The 13471-nt window shown below is 48.3% G+C and overlaps 2 annotated features.

The window, feature by feature from the left end:
- Positions 2814-2923: an enhancer, noted in NCBI's record as "active region_26937". NCBI's record gives its function as "activates an Ori minimal core promoter by ATAC-STARR-seq in GM12878 lymphoblastoid cells {active_cell/tissue: GM12878}" and the evidence as "EXISTENCE:reporter gene assay evidence [ECO:0000049][PMID:35858748]".
- Positions 3034-3103: a silencer, noted in NCBI's record as "silent region_18875". NCBI's record gives its function as "represses an Ori minimal core promoter by ATAC-STARR-seq in GM12878 lymphoblastoid cells {active_cell/tissue: GM12878}" and the evidence as "EXISTENCE:reporter gene assay evidence [ECO:0000049][PMID:35858748]".

The following is a 13471-nucleotide window of genomic DNA, read 5'->3' on the forward strand; positions in this document are numbered from 1 at the left end:
GGAAGTGGGCACTTTCACCAAGTAAACAGAAAGAGGTCGGGAGGAGCTCTCTACGATATGTTTTCCACTTACGCTGATACCTTAAATCACACAATTAAGGATCCAGATTTTTCATTCCATGTTAGGTAAAAAGCTTTAAAAGCATATGGCCTCAGTAAAGCCAGCACACCAATTCCAAACTGCTGCTCGGTGCAACTTGAGAATGCAGCAGAAATTGTGCATGTGTTGACACTGCTCCATTTCATTAGGAAGAATGAAAACAGGAAATACAGGTGAAAATCTTCCAAACTTTGAAGTAGTCAAAGATTTCTTAAATAAGCCCAACAAGAGTTATCAATAACAGAAAATCAAATTACCTTAAAGAAATTGGAAACACATTACAAAATAAAAACAGATATGTTCCGCACAAAATGCACAAAGGCTTAGTGTCTATAATTCAAAGAACTATTATAAATCAATAAGAAAAGGACTGATAATTCAATTACAAGTGTCCAAAAGGCAGCACACAGTTCAAAAAAATGGAACATATAACCAACAAATATATGCAGAGGCCGAATATCCTTAGTGATCAGGAAAATGCAAGTCCAAATCACAGAGATAACATTTTACTGTCATTTAAGTGGGAAAAAGTGGTGACATCTGATGGCACCAAGCAAAGGGGCAGATGCAGATTGCCTGGACCCCATGCACATTCCTGGTGGGAATAAAGCTGGAGCTGCTGCTGTGGACAGCAGCTTGTCCCTATGCTGGGAGCTGCGGCATTCATATTCCCTGTGAGCACCAAAGGCATCAGCAAAAATGTTTCATTCACAGGAAAGCAAAAATCTGGAAACAATTCAAATCACTTCTAACAGGAAAATGGATAAACTGTTGCACATTCCAACCATACGTTATTTTACAGTGCTCCAAGTGAAGAATATAGCGACATGCAATCAGATGCATAAATTTTAACAATCAGACCGGGTGCGGTGGCTCACACCTGTAATCCCAGCATTTTGGGAGGCTAAGGTGGGTGGATCACGAGGTCAGGAGATAGAGACCATTCTGGCTAACACAGTGAAACCCTGTCTCTACTAAAAATACAAAAAATTAGGCGGGTGTGGTGGCTGGTACCTGTAGTCCCAGCTACTCGGGAGGCTGAGGTAGGAGAATTGTATGAACCCGGGAGGCAGAGGTTACAGTGAGCTGAGATGGCGCCACTGCACTCCAGCCTGGGCGACAGAGCAAGACTCTGTCTCAAAAAAAAAAAAAAAGAAAAAGAAAAAGAAAAAATTTTTTAACAATTTAATTTTGCCTGGCAAGTGAAAATCCCAAAATTAAAAAAAAAAAAAACAACCAACTAAAACTGAAGCCACATGATTTTTAGGGACATACTTCCAAGGTAGACACATATGTGCAGGAAGCCCAGACACAGACATCAGCCATCTGGGGAGAGGGAGGGATGGGGGCATTCAGGCAGATGTAGGTTCGTTTCCAATGCCCTACTTTTCATTTGGGGTAACTTTAGTAGGTAGTTGTTGAATTGTTTAAATTAATTTTTAAAAGCAGGCTTTGCATGAACAATGATGAGAGTATGTAAAAAACTGAAGTTTCAATTAAAAGAAATAAACAGGAAATGACCATGTGTTGAAACCAGAAGCAGCTGAGCTGAGAAAATCTTATCAGAAAGTGAGAAAATAGCGCGACAAACAGCCACAAGAAGAGGGCTCATCTGTGTGAGTACAAACGTGGCCTGCTCCATCGTTTTGCTGAACCAGCCTTGACAAGGGCACTTTACTCTGGTTAAATTCCAGAGAAGCAATTTTTCTAAAACAACTTTGTCTCCTCTTTGGGGATCAAAGGCAGAATGTGCCATTTTCTACCTCCTAGCGAGGGGATACATTTGAAATCCTCCAAGAGCTTAAGAGTTTGCATCTTGGCCACTTTCCCAGCATATGTGCTTTAAAGAGACCAGAAAATGGTGTTTTCAAAATACTTCCTGGAATCTTTTATAAGGTAATAAATCAGCAGGAAAGGTCACCCGGCCTGCTCCTTCTTACCACTTCTGTAATAAACATAAGTTTCCATTAATATTAAATATTTCTTATGACAATTTTAGTCTAAACATATTATCAATTATCTTAGAAATGAACTATGTCACTAATAAAAATCATCATCATATTAATTTTCTATTTGGCTTTCAAATTTATAAAACCTTTATCATCTCATTTGATAAAATCCTGTGATAGTTTCATTACAACACAAATTGCATGTTGTAATCATCTTGCTTAGTTTCTGTCACTTTTTAAAACCTGATTTGTCTGTCACCATGCTGGAATGTCAGTGCCTCTGTGGCATCACCTGTCTCTCTTGCCACCGCCTGGCTCAGGCCTGGCACGTGCTCAGTGAGTTTGCAAGACTGAAGGGCACCCCTGCCTCCACGTCAAATCCCAGGGGTCCCTCACGGCGCTGCATGTGGGAAGATGGAGGCTGAGCCCCAGTTTGCATGCCATGGTGCTGGCCCTCGCGTATGAAATACACCAGTGATTATAAAGGTTAGTGAAAAATCTAATTATGAAATTGTACATAAACTACGATTAACTCTTTTTGTATATAGAAGAGGATACAAGGAAATATATCTAAATTGCTATGTTCACTATGCTCAGTGATAAGATTAAAGGTACATATTTTTCCCCTTTGATTTTCAACATTTTCTCAAACGTGCTTCTATTACTTTTACAAATTATCATAATCAGAGACGTAATACCCTGAGTCACCTGTTGTGTTTACTAAGACAACAAAGTACTTTGGGGTTTCTTTGCTCCTTGCAGACAGGGTGGTGGAACTGAGGGAGACTGCAGCCAGCCCAGTCGTGCCCACCCGGGCTTGCCACAGAGTTCATGGGCCTTGGGGGCTTCGTGCATTCTGCTCCCTGCTTAGAAACAGCCTCCCCCAGGCCTTCCCCGCTCCTTAGCGTGGCTGACTTCCTCTGGTCCTTTAGGGCTCAGCTCACCCGACTCCTCCCAGGAAAAGCTCCCCAGTCAGAGGTTCCTCCCTCTGGTCCTTTAGGGCTCAGCTCACCAGACTCCTCCCAGGAAAAACTCCCCAGTTAGAGGCTCCTCCCACGTGCTTTTATTTAGCTCCCTCAGCAGCTACTATGCGTCTTCATGACCTGTTTACCTCGTTCCCCAGGGAAGTCACAGGCTCCCTGAAGACAGGAGCCGTGTTTTGGTCACGGCCTCCTCGCACTGGCCTGCAGGAGAAGCTCCAGGGATACGTGAACGGATAGATGAGTGAGAGGCTTTGGGTGCCCTGAGCTCGAGTTTGTGTTTTAAGGCAAGTCATATCACTTATCAGTCATATCACTGCAGAATGAGAATGCTAAATTTCTCTTGTTCTTACATCCTGTATTTGCACAGCACTTTCACGTTATCACGTGTGACAGAAGGAAGACAGCCTCAGCCTCCCGGCTCAGCCACTGGGTCTAGTCCATTGGGCACAAATACAAACCTGCAAGGTGTGTGTGGCTCGGAGAGGGGCCCCTCAATGTCAGCAACAAGGGGGGATTTCAGAAGGTTCCAGTCTCCTTCTTACCTCTCTTCTCTACTTCTTACCTTCCTTCCTTTATTTATTCCTCTTTTCCTTCCTTTTTCAAATATTTTGAGCTCCTGCTGTTTCTATGCCAGAGAAGGAGGCAGGCCCCAGCGAGACCGAGAGAGCTGAGGGCCCGCTGGCCTGGAGGCCTCCGGAAGGCAGCTCCTTCACCACTTTTGATCCCCCTAAAATGTCAACAGACTTTAACCACTGATTATTTGTCATTTAGACCCAAGTGCTAATGAATCTGTCCCTGGTGAAGTTCAGGATGGGCCCCCGGGAGGACCTCGGGCCTGGGGGAGCTGGTGTGTGGGGTTCTTCCCAAGCATGGCTGAGCATGGAGACGGTGGCCATAGCTGAGAGCAGGACGCTCCCCACCCTTCTTTCCTCACCTTCTAACTGGAAGAGGGGTTCAAGCCCTGCTTGGTGAGGGACTTAAGAAGGTGGACAGAGGCTGCCTCAGCAGGCGTGGGTCTCTCCTCTCTCCACACCTGTGCACCAAGTGGCTCGGCTTCTGTCTGATTCACACAGTGCGTGTCTGTGGGCAGTTTTGTGTGAAAACACATCTGCTGCATAAGAAACGGTGGGTGTGGGTAAAAACTGCTGCCAAGGGAGCCACAGAGTGGAGGCCATAGAGCATCTACTGTGTTTCTCTTCAGTTTCACATGAGGCACATGTCACATGCACACACGTGCACACATAACACACTCACACGTGTGTGCAGAAATCTCACACACAGGACATTCCCCCCACCAATGCCATCCCGAACCCACTGAAGTGCTGGAGAGAAGGAGCCACCAACCCTTTCCAGGTGAGTTCCAGGAGTGAAGAGGACTCAAGGCTGCTCAGAGCCTGGTTAGAGCCACGGACAGAGAACGGAAGCCTCGACTGAGCCGTTAGAGGCAGCAGCCTCCCACTGTCCCCCAAGTGCGGGGTCCAAGCTCTGCCTCAGTGACCAGGCAGAGCCTCGCCTGGGTCCTGCAGGACTCACACGGTGAGTGGATGCTGCTGCCACTGCCGTCCGCACCTCCACTGGTGGTGTTTCAGGACCAGCTTGTCAACTGTAACAGAAACATATATAAAACCAGAATCCATTTCTCTTCTTGAGAAATAATTTAAGATTAATTATAATTTTACAGAATGCATAGTTAGTATAACTGCTGATGAGGGACTGAAGGCATCACATCTTTCTTTCTTTTTTTTTTTTTTTTGAGAGTCTTGCTCTGTTGCCCAGGCTAGAGTACAGTGGCACTATCAGGGCTCACTGCAGCCTTGACCTCCCTGGCTCAAGTAATCTTCCCACCTTAACCTCCTGTGTACTGGGACTATAGGCATACACCACAATGCCAGGCAAATTGAAAAATTTTTTTGTAGAGCTGGGAGTCTCACTATGTTGCCCAGGCTGCTCTTGAACTCCTGGGCTCAAGGGATTCTCTCTTGGCCTCAAAGGGTGCTAGGATTACAGTGTGAGCCCTACATGCAGGACAAAATAAAATCTTAAGCCTGCTGAAATTATCCAACCTCTCCTGTGTCATCAACACTCCTCTGTCAGGATGGCCTCTGAGCTTCCAAAGATGAAACATGGAAACAGGGAAACAGGGTGGGTGAGCTTCTCCCTGGGTGACGTGCCTCTCCAGCTCTCCTTCCTGGATTAGACAAATGAGGAGAGAAGGAATATGTCACATCAAAGACCCATTACTGCTGTTTGCAATATGCTTTCAAAGCATGACATGGAAGTTTGCTGTTTTGTTCATAAGTTTTTATTTAGTTATGATTGTAAAAGGACCAAAAGTTATGCCTGTACTGGTGTGTATACTTTTCAATAAACAATTGTGCATTTTTGATAATTTTTCTATACTATGTTCTGATTGTATTTATTGAAACATAATTTTGTTTCAACTCTAATAAAAACCTACGCTTGCTTTTGTATATCTCTTACAATTATATTTTTCTAGTAATTTATTTTTGTTGTATTTTATTAGTATTAGCCTGTAGTGGCTTGGCAATTAAACACAGTCAAGTCTTCTGCACAGATGGATTAGGAAGCATTCAGGAGGCCCCATCACGGGCATCTCTCCATGCAGTCAGTTCCCTGTATGGTGAGCACGTGCACAAGGCAGTTTGGAAGCTCTTGAGGCAAGACTTTTGAAAATACCCTTGGGGTATATAAGGAGAGTCAGGCCTAATATTTAGTAAATTTAGCTATAAAATAATACAGGGAAGTTCCTGTTTTTATCAGAGTCTAACTGTTCAGCATTTTAAAGAAATGGTGCTTTACTTAATTTTTAAGAAAGAGACAGAGCACATGAAATAAATTGCTGGCAGAGAATTGCCAGAGACATGGAGAAGAATGGTTTTGAGCTTGGGGATTTCTGGGGTTCAGTGCAGATTGTACCTAATCTCCCACCCTCTGACGAAACTGGACAGAAAGAGTTGATGTTCGGAACCAGGCTCCCACGACAGTGAGACACACCTGCGTCTTCTGAGCCATGGGAGGAGTCAAATGTTTTCAGCCAGAAATGTGACCCAATACATCTCAGAAAATGTTCGGCAGTCAGGGGTGGCCCAGGAGGGGCTTCTGTGATCACAGTTACCCTGACTCGCCTTGGTAAGTGCTCCCTGAACGCGGTGCCCTGGGTGTGGTTTCCTCAATGTTTTCTCCTTTTCAAACGTGAGCCCCGAGCAGGAGAGAAGGAGCCCAGTCCCTCCCAAGGCCGGGCCTCTTTGGGTTTACTGGTGCAAGGAGCTTGGTTGTTCTTTGTGCACGTGGTGAATATCATGACCATCTTCTGTGAGGTCCTCGGGGGCCGTGAGAACAGATTGGATGTGGGTCGAGCATCTGCAAGTTCTGACGCAGGAGCCCTCGCCCACTCGGTCTGGATCAGAAAGTCAGGTAGCCTCAAAAACCATACCAATGTGAAAGGTCCACCCTAGGTATTTTATTTTAACTCAAGACACAAAACTACATTCTCTTGCCCATATTTTAATGTTAAGCCATAACTTTTCCTTAAATATTTTTTTGACTGAAATTCTACACCACATTTTCTGGAATAAATCACATCCACAAAGCTTTATTTATACTACTCATTTTGTAAAAATAAAATAGAACTTAAGGACATTGAGGTAAAGCCATCTACAAACATTTTTTTTTTTTTTTTTTTGAGACGGAGTCTCGCTCTGTCGCCCAGGCTGGAGTGCAGTGGCGCAATCTCGGCTCCCTGCAAGCTCCGCCTCCCGGGTTCACGCCGTTCTCCTGCCTCAGCCTCCCGAGTAGCTGGGACTACAGGCACCTGCCACCACGCCCGGCTAATTTTTTGTATTTTTAGTAGAGACGGGGTTTCACCGTGTTAGCCAGGATGGTCTCGATCTCCTGACCTCGTGATCCGCCCGCCTCGGCCTCCCAAAGTGCTGGGATTACAGGCGTGAGCCACCGCGCCCGGCCTACAAACATTTTTTGTTAGCTTTATAATATTTTAAAATCTCAGAAGTTTTCCCATATCTATTCAATAAGCATTTTTTAGCAGTTTTCTTTTATTCTTTCCAAAGCATTCAGTTTTGTTTAATAAATAAATTAGTTATTAAACAAAAATTGTTTTATTTTTCCATTTATATTTCTCCAGTGTTTGTGCTGTCAATACTGTAATTGTTTAGTAAACTTGGGCACACACACATTTAGGAACTAGCGTGAGACTTTTGAGAGATGGCAACCCCACAGGTGGGGGGTCATAGCTGCCACTGAGGCTGCTGGCCCTGGCATTCTGTTTGCCTCAGACACAAGGTCCTATGAATTGGGCTTTAAAAGCTTCTATTGTAAGGAAATGTATCATAATGGTGCTTCTAGTGGGGGCAGAAATGAGGAGATGGACTTAGCAAAGTGGACGTCCCTGGCCAAGTCCAGTCTGAGTCAATAGCCAGTGTGCGCTGTGTTCCCTGCAAGGACTTCCCGGTGATCCCGGCCACATGTGCAGGGCCCTGGAAGCAGAGCACGGAGCGTGGGTCTGACCCACAGGGCCAGGGGCCCCAAAGGGTGTGGAGTCAAGGAGGGCCCTGATCCAATCCCTTTTATTTTGAAAAACCCAGCAGTGGGGTGCAGGTGGAGAAGGAGGGACAGAGACCAGTCAGAAGGCCCAGACCCCTACCAAGGGAGGGAAGGTTCTGCATCCAAACCACAGCCGCAGTGCCAGAGATGGAGGGATGACTCACGGCCACGGGGGGGTAAACCCTCCAAACCTGGGCCCCGCTGGGCGTGAGAAGTGAGGGGGAGGGGAGATCTCTGGTAGCTACCAGGTATTGGATCCAGCCAACGACTCAGAGCTCATTCTGTCCACCAAGAGAGAAACGAGGGGCCTCGTACTGAGGATGTGAGTGAATGGCTGACTCTCCTGAAGGGCAGACGGCGAAGGCACTCCATTCAGGCACTTACTTACGTTATCACCATCAAGCTGCAAAAAGCCCCTAAAAATATTTGTATGAGCAAAGAAACTAAGGCTGGAGCGAGTAACCCAAAGACTGCACCTCCAGGTAGGACCAAAGCCAGGACTGAGGCTCAGCTTGTCAGACCCCGAAGTCCACAATTTCCAGTTTATGATCGTCCCATGAGTGACCACAGGACACAGGCACAGCCAGTGGAACAAGGGGCCCTAAGAGCAGTGCTCACGGAAGACACAAGGGACCCTACAGTCACTGTGCTCCTGGGGGGATGGCCTGTAACCCAGGACACCCCACGCCTGAGGAGACAGCCTGGACCAGGATGTCCTATCCATGAGGAGACGGCCTGGGACCAGGATGCCCTATCCATGAGGAGACGGCCTGGGACCACGATGCCCTTTCCATGAGGAGACGGCCTGGGACCAGGGTGCCCTATCCATGAGGAGACGGCCTGGGACCACGATGCCCTATCCATGAGGAGACGGCCTGGGACCAGGATGCCCTATCCATGAGGAGACAGCCTGGGACCACGATGCCCTATCCATGAGGAGACGGCCTGGGACCAGGATGCCCTTTCCATGAGGAGACGGCCTGGGACCAGGATGCCCTATCCATGAAGAGACGGCCTGGGACCACGATGCCCTATCCATGAGGAGACGGCCTGGGACCACGATGCCCTATCCATGAGGAGACGGCCTGGGACCAGGATGCCCTATCCATGAGGAGACGGCCTGGGACCAGGATGCCCTTTCCATGAGGAGACGGCCTGGGACCAGGATGCCCTATCCATGAGGAGACGGCCTGGGACCAGGATGCCCTATCCATGAGGAGACGGCCTGGGACCAGGACACCCTATCCATGAGGAGACGGCCTGGGACCAGGATGCCCTATCCATGAGGAGACGGCCTGGGACCAGGATGCCCTATCCATGAGGAGACGGCCTGGGACCAGGATGCCCTATCCATGAGGAGACGACCTGGGACCAGGGTGCCCTATCCATGAGGAGACGGCCTGGGACCAGGGTGCCCTTTCCATGAGGAGACGGCCTGGGACCAGGGTGCCCTTTCCATGAGAAGACGGCCTGGGACCAGGGTGCCTTGAGCCTGAGGAGATGGCCTGGGACCAGGATGCCCTATCCATGAGGAGACAGCCTGGGACCAGGGTGCCCTATCCATGAGGAGACGGCCTGGGACCAGGATGCCCTGTCCATGAGGAGACGGCCTGGGACCAGGATGCCCTATCCATGAGGAGACGGCCTGGGACCAGGATGCCCTATCCATGAGGAGACAGCCTGGGACCAGGATGCCCTATCCATGAGGAGACGGCCTGGGACCAGGGTGCCCTATCCATGAGGAGACGGCCTGGGACCAGGGTGCCCTTTCCATGAGGAGACGGCCTGGGACCAGGATGTCCTATCCATGAGGAGAGGGTCTGGGCCCACGCCTGCTGAGTTTGTGGAGGTGGGGGGAAATGGACAGGGAGGTGGAGTCTAAGGAGGCACGTAAGGAACATGATATCCCCCCGGGGCCTGATTACATCCTACAACATTTTCATACTCAAATCAGTGTCCATTTTACTAGCGTTAACTACTTTTATTTAGAGATTTGACCTCTGAGATGAATGATGATCATTTAGTCCTGCAAAGAAACACGTGGAGATATGTCAGAAGAAGAAGCAACACATAGGCTGAAAATGGCGGCAGCCGCATAGAGAAAAGAATCCCAGTCACTCCTCACTTTGGCCGGAGGCTCCCAGCTCCTCTCCCTCCATCGTTTCTCCTGCTAACACATCCCCAGGAGCAATTCTGGGGAGACTGCATGGAGCTGTGATTATTCGAGGGTTTATTTCATGGCCGTAAATGCTTGTTTTGCAGTGACAGCAAAACTGAAAAAAGTAATCTGTAATCAGAACTTCCATGAGGTCAGGGTTTGGATTCAGCTTTTAATGAGTGCTTAGAGGTAACAAATCAGAGTAGATATTAAGAAGCACGTTTGACAAGATTTTAGAAAGAATAGTCATAGAATTCCAGCATCGTGAGCTGGGAAAGACTGTCAAGTGTTTAGAGCTGGAAGATACTCTGTGTGACATAGTAAGCCCGGCATCTCACAGGTCAAGAGACTTTTTCAAGTTACACAGGTAGAATCAGAGCCGAAACTCCATCCAGGTCTCCAGCACCCAGGCCTGTGTTTTCTCCATTGAACTGAATTAGTTCTAACAAATCTAACTTTTAAAGTTGATCATTAAAAAACATTTCTCCACGTCCATTTCAGTGAGATTATCAATGGCCTTTCTCTGAGCAGCCATCCTTACAGCAACAAATTGTGCTCATATAGCAACAAATTTCTCCCTTGGAAGCCCCTAGACACTGAGGCCTGGGGGCAACCCTCCACCGTCCATGAGAGAAACACCAGCCTTAATGTGGGCCCTGGGTTCACACTCACTGGTGGAGCAGCTGCGGCCCCGCTTCGGGGGCAGGAAGCACAAGAGAGTGCGCCGAGCAGAAGCCAGGCCAGATGGGCCACATGCGGGCCACGAAGGCCAGGAGCTGTTGCTCAGCATGGCCTTACGGGCCAGTCCTTCTGAGGCCTCTGCCATGGCCAGAGGGCAGCATTCACATTCAGCTCTACACAAACATGATATAAGGTCAAGTGTCCCTGTGGAGCCTGGCACTGGCTGGCCCTTCCTGTTCGTTTAGGATCAGATTTTCTCACTTTAATGCCTCCTGGCAGAGGACCTCAAGTTACCCACACTTTGAGTGCATTTCCAAGGCTTTTTTCATTATTAGTGTTTTTCTTTGAGGTTTACAGAGATCCTGATATGGAGTGAATTGACAGAGAAACCTAGAATAATTGAGTCATAAAAGTTGTATATTCTCGAGTCTTTCGATGTCCCCTTGAGTCTTGGGTCTAAAGGGTCTCAAGCCTGGCTGCTTAGATGTAGCTGTAATTGTCTGTTTGTCTGGAAGATGATTACACAGGGAGCAATGGAAACACGTTCAACTCTGGGGCTTCAGAGACAATGCGTAGGCCATGCATATCCTGGATTTCCAAACTCCTATGACCATTTCACAAAACTCTGTCAAATGTAGACTTTATTAGGGAAGATGCAGGTTCCAAGGAAAGCAAAGGAGGAAGGATCACAGGATCTGGTACAAGGCACCAAAGACCTCCATCCCATCACCCAGATTGTCCAGGCCCAGATTCGAGATTGACCATGGCAGAGAAGGGGGCTGCTGTGCATGGAGCCAGGACAAAGGTGATGGTAGAAATATCCCCAACAGAAGGAAAGGAGCCCAGCGGGAAGGAGGCAGCCCACACAGCAGGTGATGCACACGGCATGCAGGGCGTCCCTCGGACTCTGCTGGGGCCCGACTCAGAGAGACAATGGGAACACAAGGCAGACGCGCACCTGCCCAAGGCCAGATGAGACAATGGCAAACACGTACATTTTTCTCTCTCTGGGTCCTGAAGAGCCTCTGAAGCTTGCTCCAAACTACAACTTTCTGTGGTGGGAACACACACATAGCTATGCACTCAGACAGCTTATGGTTTACCAGTGAAGGTAAATAGGAAATCATGTGGTCGGGCCACCACAGAGGCCGCTGCGTTTTTCAGGAGTTTGGGAAAGGCTTTCTAGAGGAATCAACCTTCAAGCTGAGACCCAAGTAATGATAGGGACTTAGACAAAGATTGTTTGAGAAAGAAAAATTATACGACATGTGCTGAAGCCTGTAGGAGAAGAAGAATGTGTGCACTGATGCCCAAAACGTGGCCCTGGTGGCTGGAACATGGTGCAAAGGAGAGAGAGAGGGGGGACAGCATGGTGCAAAGGAGAGGGGAGGACAGCATGCTGCAAAGGAGAGAGAGAGAGGGGACAGCATGGTGTAAAGGAGAGAGAGAGAGGGGGGACAGCACGGTGTAAAGGAGAGAGAGAAGGGACAGCATGGTGCAAAGGAGAGGGGGGACAGCATGGTGTAAAGGAGAGAGAGAGAGTGGACAGCATGGTGCAAAGGAGAGAGAGAGAGGGGATAGCATGATGCAAAGGAGAGAGAGAGGGGGGACAGCATGGTGCAAAGGAGAGAGAGAAGACAGCATGGTGTAAAGGAGAGAGAGAGAGAGAATGGACAGCATGGTGTAAAGGAGAGAGAGATGGGGGACAGCATGGTGCAAAGGAGAGAGAGAGGGAGAGCATGGTGTAAAGGAGAGAGAGAGAGGGACAGCATGTTGTAAAGGAGAGAGAGGGACAGCATGGTGCAAAGGAGAGAGAGAGGGGGACAGCATGGTGCAAAGGAGAGAGAGATGGGGATAGCATGGTGCAAAGGAGAGAGAGGGACAGCATGGTGCAAAGGAGAGAGAGAGGGGGGACAGCATGGTGCAAAGGAGAGAAGAGAGAGGGGACAGCATGGTGCAAAGGAGAGAGAGAGGGAGAGCATGGTGTAAAGGAGAGAGAGAGAGGGGACAGCATGTTGTAAAGGAGAGAGAGGGGACAGCATGGTGCAAAGGAGAGAGGTGGGGGACAGCATGGTGCAAAGGAGAGAGAGAGGGGGGACAGCATGGTGCAAAGGAGAGAAGAGAGAGGGGACAGCATGATGCAAAGGAGAGAGAGAGGGGACAGCATGGTGCAAAGGAGAGAGGTGGGGGACAGCATGGTGCAAAGGAGAGAGAGATGGGGGATAGCATGGTGCAAAGGAGAGAGGGAGGGAGAGCATGGTGTAAAGGAGAGAGAGAGAGAGGGGACAGCATGGTGCAAAGGAGAGAGAGAGGGGACAGCATGATGCAAAGGAGAGAAGAGAGGGGACAGCATGGTGCAAAAGAGAGAGAGAGAGGGGACAGCCTTGGAGAACAAGATGCAGAATGTGGATTCCCTTCAGAGGCGACCAGGCCCCTAAAGAAGGGGTACCAGGCAGGAGGAGGTAGTAGTTGTTAACCAAAATGAGTGGCTGAGGCAGGTGTCTCAGTGAAGATTTGTTGCGCCAGCTTGAGAGCATGCCCAGGAAAAAACGTGAGTCACAGATGCATCTATGGCTATTTTTTCAGATGTTTTCAGGATGTTTAATATTTGTACATTTCCCTTAAAAAATCGGGGAGAAGGCAGTGAGGCAAATGGTTCTTGTGAAACTTTACTCAGTGCCCAGTAAATCTGCATTTTACATACGCTGAACGTTTGAAGAAAACAGAGTAAAGGAAGAATCAATTGTGCAGATGCACCTGTGTGGGTGGAGGAAGTACTGATCTCCTCGTGCCTTTGTTCTGCCTGTGTGGAGGTAAACTAGCAATCCACATTACCACTGCAGAGGTGAACAGGCTTTAGCTGTATGAGCTACATTTAGATGGCAGACGTAGAGCTACAGTTGACAGGTTCATGTTTTATGGGAGGATAGACAGTTTTAAAGTTTACAGGCTGGCAAAGAATTTACTTAAAGGGATTTTGTGGGGGCAGTCATCCCAAGACGCCTGAGGCCTTTTGCCTT

The sequence above is a fragment of the Homo sapiens genome, chromosome 7 (genome assembly GCF_000001405.40).
Source record: "Homo sapiens chromosome 7, GRCh38.p14 Primary Assembly".
Taxonomy (NCBI): domain Eukaryota; kingdom Metazoa; phylum Chordata; class Mammalia; order Primates; family Hominidae; genus Homo; species Homo sapiens.